Here is a 16,293-nt window from a genome sequence, read left to right on the forward strand (position 1 = left end):
GCTGAGCCACTTACTAGCTGTTGTGACCTTGGCAAGTCACTTAACCTCCCCTCTATAGCTTTGTTTCTTCGTTTTTTAAAATGAGGATAATAGTAGCATCTGTTTGACAGGGCCGCATGCATATATGCATATATACACACACATGGCTTTAAACGGTGCTCAGAACAAAATGAATATAAGTATTCTTTATTAGGGCACATTATGAAAGGCCTTGAACTGTACATTTTCCATAAGTAAAAGAAAGGTTTTAAAGCAGAAGAAGGGAGAGTATACAACAGGATATAATCTGTATTTTGTTTTATTTTTTAATTTTTTTTTTATTAGAGACAGGGTCTTGCTCTGTTGCCCAGGTTGGTCTCAAACTCCTGGGCTCGAGCAATCCACCCGCCTCAGCCTTCTAAAGTGCTAGCATTACAGGCCTGAGCCACCGCGCCTGCCTGTAATCTGCATTTTAGAAAAGTAACTCTGGTGCCACTCTGGAGAGTAGATTGGATAAGAAAGAAACTATAGACAACATACAAGCTCTGAGACAGTTTCAAGAGTACAGATAACAGGTGCTGATGTAACATGGTACTGAGTTAATATAGTGGCCTTGCCCTTAAAAATTCTGGGATCCTAAATAGAAACTTCAAACTTGAAATGTTAGTCTTAATAGATCTTACAAATTTAATTCTAAAAAAAAAATGAAGACCCTGGGGAAGAGCACAGAAGGACTGTCCTTGCAGTATGGATGTTGTAGTGCTCAACTGATGCTTCCATTCTATACCCAAATATCAGACCAGTACCTCCTGCCTACTATTCATGATATATTTTCATCTGGTTAGATGTCCAGAGCAAGACATTCTATTTTTGGAGATGCTTTTGTTTTTTCCTTCAAGTAACCTCAAACTACTTATCAGTTTCCTAGAGGAAGTTCTGGCTTCTGGACTGCACAGCCGAAGCAAGGAGAGCTCTCAAGTCACATCAAGGTCAGCGAGCAGAAGATGAAACGGTGGTTGGGGGAAGGGCACAGCTTCCTCTCTTGTCCCCACTACAGGTTTTCCCTACTAAACAAAGGTGTTGGAGAGCAGCTTTGGGTTCTGTGCTGGTTGTTAGAACTCATCTCCAGGTAGCCCACGGATACGTGGTTGGCACAGACACAAGACTCCCAGAGTTGTCCTAACAATAAGTCTGAGCCCATCTCAACCCACTTTTCTCCGGTAGTCTTTATGTATCTGTTAGCACAATCACTTCAGTTACTGATGAATTTTGTTGGGATCTGACTTGGGGAAAGGGTTATCAGAGCCTAGAGGGGCTTAAAAAGTAATCATTTGATGTACATACCACACTCCTTGGCTTCCTTTCTCTTCCCTTAACCCTTTCTGCTTTTCATTAACCACATTCCTGCACAACTCATTTCTGAAAACCTACCATGTTTCTTTACAGAGCCATCCAAAAATTTTTTGTCCCTACATAGCAATTTTCTGTGGCACTGAGAAACCATGTATGACCACAATAAAAATCCATTTTGTGAAAGGATATGAGTGATTTAGTTTTATTTCTTTGAGGCTAATTTATGGGAATTTATGAGGTGGGACATGAGCTGGTTTCACACCAAACATAATGAAGGCATTACTTCTACCTGAAGGATATTTAAAGTATGTCAAGGCAAATAATAAATTCTAGTGTCAATTTCACCTCTCTTGAAAACAGGAGAAAGTGACAGTATCATTATTGCCAGGAAATTAAGGCATCCTCAAATCATCATAGCAAAAATACCAAAGCACAATCCCTCCCTGTTTTGTGTGTGTGTGTGTGTGTGTGTGTGTGTGTAAACTTGTATGTTGACAAATATTCTCTAGCATCAGACAGTAAGGGTCAAACCTATGTCATATTTATATGGCTTTGGGAATATTATTTAGCCTCTTTGTGGCTCAGCTTTCTCATCTATAAAATAGAACCTTCCTCATAGGATTAGAAGAATTAAATGAGATGAGATGATACATGAAAAGTGCTTAAAACACTGGTATACGGTAATCATTTAATAAAATTTGGCTAATAGTAAATAAGATTAATTTCTGTCTCTAAGTTGGGGTTACAGAGTCACATGTAAAATGATTGGACTAATCATTTTAATCATTGCACATCTAATCATTGCACTAATAAGCAGTTCAAAAAATAGAGGGAAAAGCTGAAAGGTCATTCTGTCCCTCTCTTTTTTCCACTCGTCCCAGCTCTCAGCTGTTGTTTCTTTTTTTTTATTATTTTTTATTTTTAGTAGAGATGGGGTTTCACCATCTTGGCCAGGATGGTCTTGAACTCCTGACCTCGTGATCCACCCGCCTCTGCTTCCCAAAGTGTTGGGATTACAGGCGTGAGCCACTGCACTCGGCCTCAGCTGTTGTTTCTTTACACGCACTCATGAAGTAAAATCCAAGTTCTTTTTTTTTTTTTTTTGCTTTTGTGGGTCCCTTTGGGTAATTTTTTCTTCTTCATTTTTTATAAGTATTTAAGACAGCCTGCACTTGGGGATGGAGTATTTTAAATGCAGCATTTTACAAGTTATATAGCCTTTTAAAATATGAAAAACTCCCTCCTCCAAGCAGGAATATCTGTGCTTCTCTTCCTATCAGCAAGATAACGCTGTGGAATAAAAAGAGCAAAAACAGAGACCTTCCTTATGTCATTTTCCTCATTATTCATCTGCTTCCATTGTGCCTACTCAACTGACAATATCAAGAAGTCTAAGAAATGAGCCCTACCATCAGGGTGTTTGATGTCAGAAGTTGGCATTTCTTTATTAAGAATCAAAGACACGTATTTTTGTGTAAGATTTACAGAGCTGATTCCATTTGTACTGGCCCTTTATTTTTGTGCCCTTTAAAAACATCACTTTAATTAAGGTCTTGTATGCTTTTAATAATCCTCTCCCCCATAGGTGGAAATGCCCTGGTCAAAACCTCTGTGTTCCATTTACTCCACAAAAGCCAAGGATATTTGTTTTTAGACAACTGTGTTTGAATAACAGTTTCTGTCCAGTAAACTTGCAAGCAGCAGTTGACAAGTTTTTATCTCTAATAGTTCCCTTCTTTCTCCCTTTAGTGAAGTTATAAAATATTCCGTTATAGAATACAGCTACTAGCAGTCGCGTCTTATCCTCAGATGTTGTTAGAGAGGTACCCCCATCATGAGGTCCTCCCAGTGTCTTATCTTCACCACAGACAGAAACTGGCTGAGAGTGATTTCTGTGGTTTATGTGCGTGTAGTGTCAAGCTCACTGAGGAGCGCTGAGGAGACAGCGCTATAAAAATGTGTATAGGAACACATACGTTCTCAGATTTCTCACTTTAGCATTGGTCTTTGGAAAACAGTCCCACCTACATCCCAATTCAGGTGCCATGAGGTTCACCTGGTGAGACAAACCAGCTTCAAGAATAGGCCAGGGGAAGTGGAAAGGGGTGAGTGACAGGACAAAGGGAGAACAGGTGAACGAAAGTAGGGGCAGGATCACAGGATGGAGCAGGGCAGAGAGAAAGAGAGGACACCAGAGATTTATGTAACATCTTAAGAGAGCAGACAGGCAGGGAAGGTTCTGCAGCCCACATGCATCTGCTGTGGAATCTGAAAATTACTTTAGACGGTTTTTCTTTTTCATTAGCCCCTCTGCCTAATGTTTCACAATGCTCTGGCACCTATCTGATGAGGCACGAAAGGAACCCTGGACCTTGCATATAGGAGACACTCAAATACTTATTTATCTATCTATGTATCTATTTTTGAGACGGAGTTTCACTCTGTTGCCCAGGCTGGAGTGCAGTGGTGCAATCTCGGCTCACTGCAACCTCTGCCTCCCAGGTTCGAGCTATTCTCCTGCCTCAGCCTCCCAAGTAGCTGGGATTACAGGCGTGTGCCACCACACCCAGCTAATTTTTTTTTGTATTTAGTAGATATGGGGTTTCGACATGTTGGTCAGGCTGGTCTTGAACTTCTGACCTCAAATGATCCACCCGCCTCGGCCTCCCAAAGTGCTGGGATTACAGGCGTGAGCCACCACACGCAGCCCAATATTTGTTGACTGATAGAAACTACTGGGAAAGGAGGAAGATGGGGCAAATGATGAATTACTTTTTTCCCATAAATCAGAATCTATTTAAATGATAACTCTAAACCACTCCTGTGTGTTTGTCCAGCAAGCCCTCAAAAAATCGTGCAGGCTATTTGCTCACCAGTACATTTGGACATTTTGCATCCTCACATATGAAGACACCCTGGATTTGCTCATTATTTTTTCATCGCTCTTTAAACAGGGGGTTAGAAAATAGAGACGGTGGAAAGGGGACAAGATGGTTTGGGGAACGTGGTGTGTGCACACTCATGCCCATGGGAGGGGGTTACAAAATCTGAAGAGGAGACTGCAGTCAGGAAGCCTGGATTCTAATCCATTTAGCCAGTAACTTGATGTATAAACTTGGGCAAGTCAGTTTATCTGGCATGCCCTGTTTCCTCATTTTCCAAATGGAAATATTAATACTCTATATACCTTACAAGGTGGCATTAAAAGTGTAAAGAAATGACATATAAGAGCATTTTGAAAGGATAAAGTTCTGTGTCAGTCTAAAATCGTGGAATTAATTGGTATGGTGAATGGAAAGAAGTTGAGAGGAATATCATTGGATTAGGAGGAAAGGTGGAACTGGAAAAGAGAGGGAGCCCCTCCTTCATTTGACAGACACCAGAAAAAGTCAAAAGAGCCTCCACTATTCAAACCACAAATCTAGCCAACACTTTTATCTTGAGACATCTCTGGAAAAATGATTTTTCCTTTTCCCTGCTCCTCAGTGCCAGGGATTTTTATTCATTTTGTGGTTACTGCATGCTTGCCATATGCCAGGCAATGTGTTTATTAGCTTATTATGATTTCAAAATTAGCCCTGGAAGACAACACATATCTTCAAAGGACTCTCAGAGGTCATCTCATATCTTCCCCTAGCTTTCCTTGTTGATAAAAATGGCAGTTCATCCCTCACCACTTAATACGTGGAGGGACGCGGGCCTAAAGAAATTCAGTGACTTGACCAAAGCCCAGAGTGGTGATGAAACCAGTACCCAAGCGCGGGGTTTCTCACTCCCCTTTTCCATCACACGTATATATATTAAAAAGACATGAAGTTACTAAGATGTGTCCTGGAGGCTCTGAGGCAGATCTGCTGTAGGAGGGATCAGCAGAGGCTTCTCTAGTCAGGGCATTCTCTGGGCGTTCAGCCCTTCCCTCCACTGGGCTCCAGCGCTGTAGAGAGGGTGGGGTTTTTACCTATCAGTATAGCGGGAAAAGATACCCAGGTGGCAGGAAGTTTAAGCCTCACCTGGAACTTATATTGAAAGCCACTTGGTAGAAAGGATAATGGTTTGGAGACAGAGTTCTATTCCTGCCAGCATTGACACTGTGTCTGAAAAGCCAGCATCGACACTGTGTCTGCAAATCCCTCAGCTATTCTGAGTCTCCGTTTTCTCCCTGTGAGATGGAGATCATAAAATCCGCCTCATCCTTAGGATTATTCTCCTGAAGCTACAATAAGGCCTGAGGCATTGTACGCTGGAAGAAACGTGTATTAATAGCAACTTCTGTCCCACCCCATCCCCCAACACGTCGATCCCCTCCGGAGCATAAAACTTTCCCCCAGCATCTGACCTGCCCAGGCCACCCTAGCACCTAGGAGCGTGAATTCCTGATGCGGGTTGTGGGTGGCGCGCCCTCCCGGTTCCCGCTCTCGTTTTTGTTTTTGGTCGGGTAAGGCGATGCTGTAGAGGCTGGCGATCTCCAGTCTTCACGAATCCGCACGTCTCTCCATTATCCACCGCGCCCGCCCACTGGGCCCCGGGGCGGCCGGCGGCCGGGTCTCTCGGGCTCCGCGTGTCGCCCGAGCCGCCGCCGGAGCGAGGGTCCCTGCCCCCTGGGGAGCGGTCTCCAGCCGCTTCGAAGCCGCCTTCTTCCCCCTCCGTGAGTCAGAAACAAAGGCGGGGGGGCGGGGGGAGCGCCCGAGCTGCGGCTCCGCGATTCGCCCTTTATTCTGAACTCGCAACGTCAGCGGCCCGCGGATGGAGCTGCGGGGTGCGGACTGGGCCGCCCACAGCGCACCGGGCCGGGGGAGCGGCCGCGCTGGGCCGGGCGGGCGGGTGGCGGGGGTGCGCTCGGGGACCCGGGCCGCGTGGGCGCCGGGATGGAGGGCGCCAAGGGGCGGGGAGCGGGCGTGCGTGTGTGTGCGAGTGCGAATGCGAGGGAGGCCGGCCTTGAGTGAAACCGGAGCTACAAAGAAGGGGAGAGTCCGGGAGCGGGAGGGCGCGAGGGAGGAGCGGCGGCGCCGGGGCAGCTCCGACGCCCTCCCGCGGGGAAGGAGCCCCCGCGGTGCCGCCGAGGCCCCGACGCGGGGCCGCCCCTCGGCTCGCCGCCCCGCGCCCGCGCCCGCTGGGAATGATGAAGAAGAACAATTCCGCCAAGCGGGTGAGTGCGCTTGCCCGCCCTGCGGCCGCCGCCGCCTCCGCGCTCTGACGACCCCCGCTCCGTCGGCGCCGCGGCGGCCTGGGAGACCCACGGCCCGGCCGCGCCCCCGCCCCGGCGGCCCGGTCCCCTCGGCCTCGGCCCCGCCAGGCGCCCGCGGGGGCTTTTGTTTGTTTACTCGCCTCGGGGGGCTTCAACTTGGCTGAGTTTCCCCACGACCCGCACCTCCCCCGCCCCCGGGCGCCGGGCGAGCGTTTGCCTCGCGCTCCGCCGTGGCGAGGAGACAATGGGAGAGAAAACCAGAGAAACGCCGTTAGTCCCCGCGCGGCGAGGACGGGGCGGCGGGGGCGCAGGGCCTGGAGGGAACCTGGGAGCCTCTCCGCGCCCGGCCGGCGCCCCTGCCACTTGCAGCCCCGGTTGTTTATTCGGGAGCGGGGGAGGGGAGCGGGGGGAGTTCCTCGGAGTGAAAACCTTTCCGAAGTGGGAGCGAACCTGGGGCGGCCCCCCGCCCCCCGGCCGCAGCCTTCGGAGGAGACTGGGCCGCCGAGGCGGTCGTGAGAGACGGACGGAGAGGAAGCGCCGGCTGGAATCTCCTAACCGCCCGCTTCTCATCTTGTCCTGGGGCAGGGACCTCAGGATGGAAACCAGCAGCCTGCACCGCCCGAGAAGGTCGGCTGGGTCCGGAAATTCTGCGGGAAAGGGATTTTCAGGGAGATTTGGAAAAACCGCTATGTGGTGCTGAAAGGGGACCAGCTCTACATCTCTGAGAAGGAGGTGGGTGCCTCTTGCCTCTAACTCTCCGTTTTCTCATAGCCCCCACTTTGTCACTCCCCAAGGGCTCGCCTAGCTTACTCCACCCCCGTTTTGTTCCAAAGGCAAGTTCAGTGGTCTCCTCTCTACCCCCATCTCATCTGCAGAGAAAGGCCACCCTTTAATGAGAAGACCAGAGTGAGAATTAGAAGTTGAGTTGGCCGCTTACTCAGTGTTTTTTTGTTTGCAAATACCTTTCTAACAACGATAAGCCCCTCCCAAGATGCCCCAGAAGTTCTAAGTGTCCCTTGCTGCCTCCCACCCTAACCTGGCCTCCTGCATATAGGATTTCTTTTCTATTTCTGCTGAAACAGTTTAGCCTATTCGCCACCCCTTCCTGTCCCCCCACCTTAACCCAGCCAGCCTCCCCTTTCCTGTCTGTGGCAGGAGCGTGCACAGGTCCTGTCCGTGGCGCATCCGCCCTGAATCACAGAAAACACGCACCCCGCCGTCAGGCCCCTGTGACCTCGGGTGTGTGAGTGGCAGTTATTTTCGTTGAAGCCAGTGTCCCTAACCAGTATGCTCTCTGTTCCCCACCCCCACCCCATTTAAAAAAGGCAAGGAACCCATTTTCTACCCACTTCCTGCCCACCCCTCCATTTGTATCAGAAGGGAGAGAAATGGAGTTAAGAACCCCTGTATGTCTTTGGATAGCTTTGGCTGTGTAGTTAACCATGAAAACCACAGTCTACACTGTGTCAAGACCTGAGCTATGATAATTGAATCCAGACCCATCTCCCTTTTTTCCCTAAGTCTTGGGATCAATAACGTGTACTAATGTGGAGAAATCAGAATTGCCCCTACAGTGGTTAGAAGTCATTCCATTCCCTGCCTCTGTGACTGTCCAAAGGCAGTCAGTATAGCCTGGAAGACTGTCCTGTGTACCGGTTAGAGTGGCCCTTCCTCCCGCCCTCACGGGAGGTATTCTGTGTTCCCTCACCCAGGGCTAACTGGGAAGTCCTCCCTGAGTTCTAACCTCTTCTGCTTTCTGCAGTAGACATCCTTATTCAGTAGATTATATTTAGGTAAATAAAACCTTTTATGGTATTGAAACATACACACACACACCCTGAGACAAAGTACTCATCTAAAAGAACATCTACTGAGGCATCTAGGGAAGAACTAAGCTGTGCCACAGCCAAAGAGATCCCTCTTAAGGGTATTGAAACCTAGCTGTTTACACAAAACTAGCAAGTTGGTGATGGAAAGTCTTAGGAGTGAGGTGAGGGCACTTTTCTTGGTCTGTCATCCAGGCAGGAATGCAGTGGCTCAATCACAGCTCACTTCAGCTTCCACCTCCCAGGCTCAAGTGATCCTCCCACCTCATCCTTGGAGTAGCTGGGACTACAGGTGGGTGCCACCATGTCTGGCTAGTTTTTGTATTTTTTGTAGAGACAGTGTTTCGCGTTGTTGACCAGGCTGCTCTCAAAACTCCTGGCCTCAAGTGAACCACCCGCCTCAGCCTCCCAAAGTGCTGGGATTACAGGTGTGAGCCAACCGTGCCTGGCCAGGAGGATTTATTTTTAAGAGTTACCTCTGCCCAATCACAAATCCTCCAGAAAGTTTTCTCCACAATTTTCTGGCTTTCTAAATTAAAAAAAAAAAAAAAAAAAAAAAACAAGTGTCAAAGTGTATCTCCTGTCTTCCCCGAACTTCTTAATTGCAGGAAACTCTAGTTACGAATCAGGGAGAACTTCCTACACATCAAAGAGAAAAACATAATAGTGAAAGGGTAAGAGGAATAAGACATCCATTGCTTGTTTGTATTTGCCCAAAGAGCAGAGTCTGGGGGCAAAAGCGTAGTTGATCCTTGCTTTTAGGTACAGAGACAGAGGAAAGGATGGAATGACCTCAGCCTAGGATATCTGGTGTCCTATGAGTCAGGACCATCTGACTGGTCATGGAGCCAGCTGTCTCCTGCTGGGAAGGGCACAGGAAAGAGGGACTAGGCATATTGATACTGTGCTTTTTTAGAGCCAGTTTCAATGCTACAGTGGGCCTGGTTAAAAAGTGAAATTGACAGAGTACTCTGGGCTTTATTTTGCCCACTTGTGAAAAGCTCCAGGGCCAATAGAATCAAGACACGGTGTTCTGTTTTGTTTTGTTTTTTAGAGACAGGGTCTCACTCTGTCGCCCACGCTGGAGTGCAGTGTCACAATCGTAGCTCACTGCTGCCTTGACCTCCCGGGCTTAAGCAATCCTCCCACCTCAGCCTCCGGAGTAGCTGGGACTACAGGCATGCACCACCACACCCAGCTAATTTTTTTTATTTTTTGTAGACATGGGGTCTCACTATGTTTCCCAGGCTGGTCTCAAATTCCTGGCTTCAAGTGATCCTCCTGCCTCAACCTCCTGAAATTCTGGGATTATAGGCGTGAGCCACAGTCCCTGACCAAGATTTTTTTTTTTAAGGCAGAGTATAATCTATATCATTTACTGTTAATGCAAGAAAATTTCTAACCCTATCTCCCAGAATTTTCACCAGTCTCTTTTGTTATTTCCTCTCTTAAAGGCAGGGTCTCCCACAACCACCTCTGCCGTAGAATTTCTTCTGTGTTCGATAGTAATCATTTTCTTCCTTCTCAAAGGGCATCCTCTCTCAAAGAGGGCTGGAGCACCTTATGATCACAGGCTGATGTGTAAGAACAGAAGCTAGACCTTAGGAAGACCTCATGGTGGAGGAAATTGGATTCGGGGCAACTCTTTGGACAGGCGTGGGAAAAATCCCTTTCTATAGTCAAGGACGAAGAATCAGGGGAAAGGAAGGGTTAATTTGGAAGATGGGTAGTTATAAATGAGACTCTGGGAATTAGATATGTGGGGAAAAAAAAAACAATATGGTGGAGAACAAGGCTGCTTGGCTTTGTCCATCTTCCCAGGCACTGGAATATACTTGTCCTACTGCTTGCCTCACCCCATCTCCCACCCTCTCCACCAAGGGCTAACCTCTATCAGTGTCTCCTGCTCCCCAGAGCTCCTAATCAGTCTGTATGCAAGGTAGAATAACTCCCTTTCCTTCCCTTCCCCTAAGGAAAACATAGTAAGTTAACTCTCTTCCCCTGGCTACATTCACACACCCAACACTTTCCTCTCCACGGTTTCTGGGCTCTGCTGATAGTCTCAGCTCTGGAGAAGGAGGGGGAGAGGAGGGATGATGCATCATCTTGTATCCCTGTCCCGTGTTTCTGGGAATTGCTCTTGGACACCCCTTGCCAGCACCTTGTCCTACTTCCACCCGTAATCATTCAAGGCCTCTGGCCACTTTCCAGCCCAAAGCCAGGGAACCCTGGAAAGTGGGAGGCCCTGGAGGAGCCAAGCCTTGCTGAAACAAATGGAGGTAGATGTATGAGGCGTCACTCACCTGAATGGGGCCATGTTGACATCTGTCCTCATCTGTCATCAGCCTCCAGGTCCAGCAGCAGTTCAGAAGGATGGGCAGATACAAGACTGTAGATGGTCTGGGTAATGGAAGGGAGAACCACTTCCCCACTTCCAGGTTTCCAGGAACCAGGAGGATAGATGAGTTCACCTCCATGCACACGAGTCCTATTTCAGAACTTGGGAAGTTGGGGACTGTTTTGGAAAATAATTTCAGTCAGGGTGGGTAGATGTCATCCAAGGAAGACGTGAGGCTACTTTTATCTGTTTGTTTAGTTTTAATGAGACAAGTGCTGGTGCTTTTAATTCTCATTCCAGGAAAACGTGACCAGGTTTTTCCTGAGGTGTTCCAACCCTGGGCTCAAGCCACGGAGGGTGGACAGACTGCACGGTCTGGACTTGTAACTAAGTCTCCTCTCTGTAACTTTGGTCCTTGCTAGCCAAAACAAATCCATAAGCCACTGCTTCAGAGTCCCAGAGTTGTAGGAACACCACCTTAGGGGAAAAGAGAAAACATTGTGGTCAGTTTCAGATGAACCTGCGAAGAAATGTTCCTAGAGCTGCTTTGCAGTGCTCAGAAAAGGCTAGTTGGGGTTGGAGAATGTCACTAGGAATGCGGCCTCGATGAGACGTTCAGCAGGAGTGCTAAGAGCTAAATGTTGCTTAAAACCTGCTAAAGGTGGAACCAGAGTGCGGGACGGAGACTATAGCAGGGAGGGCTAAGTTTAGATAGGAGGAAGAGCTTCCTGGCAGTAAAGGGGGCCCAGGCACTCAAACTGGAATAATGGCAAGAAGTCACAGAAGTCACTTTTTTCCAAGTCTAAAGTGTAGTCTCCCAGGGAGAGTCTAAGTGCATTCTTGCCTAGAGATAGGGGGTCTGGAGGAGTTAGTTTGGATTGTCACAGTACCTTAGAGGGAGGAGGAAAGGGTAGGAACTGTAATTGTAGTTTTCAGCTTCTCTGGACAAATTCAGCAAACTGAACACGGGGCTGCCGTCCTGTGGTGGCGATGCTCCTGAAATGAACAAGGAAGATGAGTCTCTATAATTGTACATACCAGAGAAGGAAGCGAGGTGGGGTGGGAGAGCTATACTGCACACATGTGAGTGGGGAGGCCAGAGACCGCCCCTCGTTCCCTCCAGACACCCCGATAACTGGCCCTGCCTTGATCTTCTTTCTGTGGACCATCAAGGGCCATACAGGTCTGTCTTACTGAGGGCAATGGATCAACCATCTACCATGTCCCTTTAAGGACGTGAGCCTTTTTAGAACATGTAAGCTGTGTCCTTAAGGAAAAGAGTGGGGCGGTTGGTGAAGAGAGGCATAGTGGGACTCTGGAAATGGCAGCCTGGCTAAGGAGAGTGAAGAGAAGGGGTTTAAACAGAAACACACCTTAACATTCAAGACTTGGAGCTGCCCTAGCGTCCTCCTCGATGTGAGGACCTTGTAGGCTTTGGGCAGACGGCCCTCTCCTCTCCTGGCGTGCCTCCCTCTCCTCAGGCTTCCTCTGTTTCCCAAGATGATCTAAACTAACAGTCTGGGTGGAGGGGCTAAATAATTTTATCCTCCTCACCTCACCCCAACCCTCCCCTAGGTAAAAGATGAGAAAAATATTCAAGAGGTATTTGACCTGAGTGACTATGAGAAGTGTGAAGAGCTCCGGAAGTCCAAGAGCAGGAGCAAGAAAAATCATAGCAAGTTTACTCTTGCCCACTCCAAACAGCCCGGTAACACGGTATGTTTCTCCTGCCACCTTGGCTGCTGGAACATGGACAGGGTTGGAGGGGGCAGGGGAGAACTCCTTCCCCTCAGTTTCTCTCTCAGCAATCTTGGTTCAGATTCCCTGAATTGCTCTCCTGCTGGCTTTTATCATTTCACCTGAGAATATTGTAGCCATTTCCTTCTTTCCAGGCAGGCCACCCTTTAACCTGTTCAGCCACAAAGATCATCTCTCTATATATCTCTTTATTTTTCTCTGTCTTATACACACACATCCACACATGTGCATATTTACATCCCTTAGAAGAAAATCCCTGTCCTTGTACCCTGATAGGTGGTTGAAGTTCTGAATCTAATTCATCTTGTCTGAGGGAACCCAGGGAAGTTATTCCTGTCACATTCTATTTCTTCAAACATTGAAAGATTTGTATTTTAATACCTATCCTTCATCAGACTTCCTCTAATTATCTCTAATACCATACTAATATTCAGTATCCTTCTTAGCTCCTCCTTGGTCATTTCTAAAACAACCTCCTAGCTATGCATTTTGCAGGAATAGAAGCTGGGTTTCCTTAAGTTATGGATGACTCTGGAAGCAGAATATCTCTCCTTCCTGGAGCTAGGTCTAAGAAAGTGAGATTATAATCTCTTATTTCTTCATTGTCAAGGTGAGGCACCACCTCTAAAACCCTGGCTGAAACAGGAATCTTCCCCTCACAGGCACCCAACCTGATCTTCCTGGCAGTGAGTCCAGAAGAGAAGGAATCGTGGATCAATGCCCTCAACTCTGCCATCACCCGAGCCAAGAACCGTATCTTGGATGAGGTCAGGGGGCTCACTGTGGGGAGAGGGAGGAACGCTGGGGCAGAGGGAACAGCTGTGACCCACTGAAGGGGGAGGATTGTGCAGGCCCCGTTTACTCGCTCCTCCACCAGCTCTACTTCTTTACCACCCTTTTAAAAGCCCTGATCTCTTTCTACCTTCTCTCCAAGTCTCATCTGACACCTCCTCTTCCCCGCTTCATGATGGGGGAGCCAGCCTTGGGTCAGCTTAAAGAGCCCCCTTCGTGTCCAGTAAATCCCCTTGCCCATTCAGAAGCAGTGAATGGAGTGGGCACATGTTCAGGCCTCGGGATGCTGGGTTGGGACAGCGAGTCGCTGAAGAGCACTCATGATTCACAGTACATCTCTTCAGGTCACCGTTGAGGAGGACAGCTATCTTGCCCATCCCACTCGAGACAGGGCAAAAATCCAGCACTCCCGCCGCCCCCCAACAAGGGGACACCTAATGGCTGTGGTATGTAAGACTGTAATAAACATTGCCAAAGGGCCAATTCTGTGTCAGTCCATCTCAGACAGAACTGTATGCCACCAGAGGCATTTGCGGGAGGCCTCCTTGATGCCAAGATCAAAGGCGAGGGAAGTCCTTCCACCCAATGCCTCTGCCAGATCTAAATCAAAAGGTTTTATTCAGCGCCCATTAGGAGTTCAAAAGTCCCAGCTCCCAGTAATGTTACCCTCTTTCGGAGAAAATGAGTTATACCCACAGGAAAATGAAAAATTAGCTACTGTATGGTGGCTGTCTTGATGGGTAACAACATGTAGTACCGCGGGTGTTTGGAGGAGAAAGGATCACAATGAACTCCTGAAACATACAACGTGCTAGTTTCTTTCATGCCTCTGAGCTCTTAAGTCTTCAGAGAGAGAGGCAGGCAGGTATAATGCAGAGAACACAGGCTTTGGAGTTAGAACCTGAGTTGGAACCTCACTGTAATCAGCTACCTGTGTGGTTCCCTGAAGTTGCATGTCTCCAACTGTAAAATGAGGCAGTAATCATGCCTGCCTTGAAGGGCTGCTGTGAGGAATGACTAAAACAACATATTTGGTATTGAATACTCATCATTTTTAGTATTCTGGAAATAAGAGAACAAATTTTATTATAAGGCAAGGGGGCTGAAGTGTGGGACTCAGAGGATGCAGATGGAGGAGGACAGTCGTGCCATGGGGAGCATCCTGTGTGCATCAGATGCAGTTTAATTGCTGAGAGTCCACAATACCAAGGAAGAGGGCGCCCCTCAGGAAGCTTATGGTAGAGTGGAGAATACAGGAAACAAGTAACAAACTAAATCACAGAAGAAGAAACATTCAAGTCACTATCAAAGGAATAAGAAACAGCACATTCAGTAGGAGGGTTCAGTCAAGAGCAGAGGGCTTTGCCAGGCAGGGGGGCTCACACCTGTAATCCCAGTACTTTGGGAGGCTGAGACGGTGTATCACTTGAGGTCAGGAGTTTGAGACCAGCCATGGCCAACATGGTGAAACCCTGCCTCTGCTAAAAATACAAAAAAAAAGAGCTGGGCGTGGTGGTGCACGCATGTAATCCCAGCTACTCGGGAGGCTGAGGCAGGAGAATGGCGTGAACCCGGGAGGCGGAGCTTGCAGTGAGCTCAAATCGTGCCACTGCACTCCAGCCTGGGTGACAGAGCAAGACTCTGTCTCTAAAAAAAAGTACTTCTCATTCAAGGAAGGCTTGTAGAGGAAAATGACCACAGCTTGCATCTTTTAGGCAGTCATTCCGAAAATCCCTCCTGATGACAGGTTCCCCACTCATTCCCCCCTTCCTCCACAGGCTTCCACCTCTACCTCGGATGGGATGCTGACCTTGGACTTGATCCAAGAGGAAGACCCTTCCCCTGAGGAACCAACCTCTTGTGCTGAGAGCTTTCGGGTTGACCTGGACAAGTCTGTGGCCCAGCTGGCAGGGAGCCGGCGGAGAGCGGACTCAGACCGCATCCAGCCCTCCGCAGACCGGGCAAGCAGTCTCTCCCGACCTTGGGAAAAAACAGACAAAGGGGCCACCTACACCCCCCAGGCACCCAAGAAGTTGACGCCCACAGAGAAAGGCCGCTGCGCCTCCCTGGAGGAGATCCTATCTCAGCGGGATGCTGCCTCTGCCCGCACCCTCCAGCTGCGGGCTGAGGAACCCCCAACCCCTGCCCTCCCCAACCCGGGGCAGCTGTCCCGGATCCAGGACCTGGTAGCAAGGAAACTGGAGGAGACTCAGGAGCTTCTGGCAGAGGTTCAGGGACTGGGAGATGGGAAGCGAAAGGCCAAGGACCCCCCTCGGTCTCCGCCGGATTCTGAGTCAGAGCAGCTGCTGCTGGAGACGGAACGGCTGCTGGGAGAGGCATCATCGAATTGGAGCCAGGCAAAGAGGGTGCTGCAGGAGGTCAGGGAGCTGAGAGACCTGTACAGACAGATGGACCTGCAGACCCCGGACTCCCACCTCAGACAGACCACCCCGCACAGTCAGTACCGGAAGAGCCTGATGTGAGGGCAGGGTGGGGTCTGGAACTTGTCGGGTTGGACAGACTCTTATCTCCGTGTTGCTGGATAAAGCTTTTTTATTTACCTCAATCAAAAAAAGAAAACAAAAATGAACTCATTGCTCTTGCTGATGCCTGACCCCACTACAACCCTTATTGCCCCACCTACTTTCCATATGCCCCTCGTATGCCCCTCAGGTTTGAGGAAGTGACCCCGCAGCAGTAGCAGGAAGTTTTTACCCAGCCAGAGAGAGAGAAGGCACGGTAAAGACACAGTCTGACCACTCCACACACCGCCCGCCCCCAAGACGGCACAGGGAGTCCACTGCTGCTCCCAAGGATACAGTGGGCTTCTAAGCTTAGAGCGGGAGGGGGATGAGGATGTTTTCTGTTATGTCCCACCCCAGGCCTTCAGTTTGAGGGTGAAGTTTCAGCTGCCCAACTCTAGTTGTAGGGATGTGGAGGCCAGTGTCACCTGTCCGTGCACATGGAAGTGAAATTTATCCCAGCCCTGAGGAGGATTTGTGGAATTAAAATCTCCCCAGCCAGACACTGGCTTCTCATTCCTAGCAGTCTCTCATTGAGAT

General features: G+C 48.8%; 2 protein-coding genes across 9 annotated transcripts in view, besides 6 other annotated features; both read left to right on the forward strand.

The window, feature by feature from the left end:
- Positions 1 to 1,520, forward strand: part of VPS45 (vacuolar protein sorting 45 homolog) — a 77,948-nt gene extending 76,428 nt beyond the window's left edge. For all 5 annotated transcript variants that reach the window (NR_103998.2, XM_024452791.2, NM_001279353.2 and 2 more), the window contains one exon: positions 900 to 1,520. Coding sequence is in view for 4 of the 5 variants with exons in the window: in NM_001279353.2 (NP_001266282.1) it covers positions 900 to 1,112 (213 nt within the window). In the remaining variant the exon portion in view is untranslated. The remainder of the gene's footprint in view (positions 1 to 899) is intronic.
- Positions 5,735 to 6,194: a silencer, noted in NCBI's record as "silent region_1294". NCBI's record gives its function as "represses an Ori minimal core promoter by ATAC-STARR-seq in GM12878 lymphoblastoid cells {active_cell/tissue: GM12878}" and the evidence as "EXISTENCE:reporter gene assay evidence [ECO:0000049][PMID:35858748]".
- Positions 5,735 to 6,547: a biological region, named in NCBI's record as "H3K27ac hESC enhancer GRCh37_chr1:150122046-150122546".
- Positions 5,837 to 16,256, forward strand: PLEKHO1 (pleckstrin homology domain containing O1). Of its 4 annotated transcripts, none has more exons than NM_001304722.2 (6): positions 5,837 to 5,977; positions 7,103 to 7,249; positions 12,257 to 12,397; positions 13,102 to 13,206; positions 13,576 to 13,677; positions 15,010 to 16,256. In NM_001304722.2, exons 5-6 carry the CDS (start codon positions 13,669 to 13,671, stop codon positions 15,712 to 15,714), a joined length of 714 nt encoding a protein of 237 aa, NP_001291651.1. In that variant the 5' UTR covers positions 5,837 to 5,977; positions 7,103 to 7,249; positions 12,257 to 12,397; positions 13,102 to 13,206; positions 13,576 to 13,668; the 3' UTR covers positions 15,715 to 16,256. The 4 variants fall into 4 exon arrangements, with proteins under 4 accessions (NP_001291651.1, NP_001291653.1, NP_057358.2 ...); NM_016274.6 differs by lacking the exon at positions 5,837 to 5,977 and adding an exon at positions 6,107 to 6,478; NM_001304724.2 differs by lacking the exon at positions 13,576 to 13,677.
- Positions 6,047 to 6,547: an enhancer, noted in NCBI's record as "H3K27ac hESC enhancer chr1:150122046-150122546 (GRCh37/hg19 assembly coordinates)". NCBI's record gives its function as "activates a minimal SCP1, AML or CMV promoter by ChIP-STARR-seq in naive H9 embryonic stem cells {active_cell/tissue: H9 hESC(naive)}" and the evidence as "EXISTENCE:reporter gene assay evidence [ECO:0000049][PMID:30033119]".
- Positions 6,335 to 6,414: a silencer, noted in NCBI's record as "silent region_1295". NCBI's record gives its function as "represses an Ori minimal core promoter by ATAC-STARR-seq in GM12878 lymphoblastoid cells {active_cell/tissue: GM12878}" and the evidence as "EXISTENCE:reporter gene assay evidence [ECO:0000049][PMID:35858748]".
- Positions 15,047 to 15,548: an enhancer, noted in NCBI's record as "H3K4me1 hESC enhancer chr1:150131051-150131552 (GRCh37/hg19 assembly coordinates)". NCBI's record gives its function as "activates a minimal SCP1, AML or CMV promoter by ChIP-STARR-seq in naive H9 embryonic stem cells {active_cell/tissue: H9 hESC(naive)}" and the evidence as "EXISTENCE:reporter gene assay evidence [ECO:0000049][PMID:30033119]".
- Positions 15,849 to 15,898: a silencer, noted in NCBI's record as "silent region_1296". NCBI's record gives its function as "represses an Ori minimal core promoter by ATAC-STARR-seq in GM12878 lymphoblastoid cells {active_cell/tissue: GM12878}" and the evidence as "EXISTENCE:reporter gene assay evidence [ECO:0000049][PMID:35858748]".
- Positions 16,257 to 16,293: the final 37 nt, after the last annotated feature.

The sequence above is a fragment of the Homo sapiens genome, chromosome 1, assembly GCF_000001405.40.
Source record: "Homo sapiens chromosome 1, GRCh38.p14 Primary Assembly".
Taxonomy (NCBI): domain Eukaryota; kingdom Metazoa; phylum Chordata; class Mammalia; order Primates; family Hominidae; genus Homo; species Homo sapiens.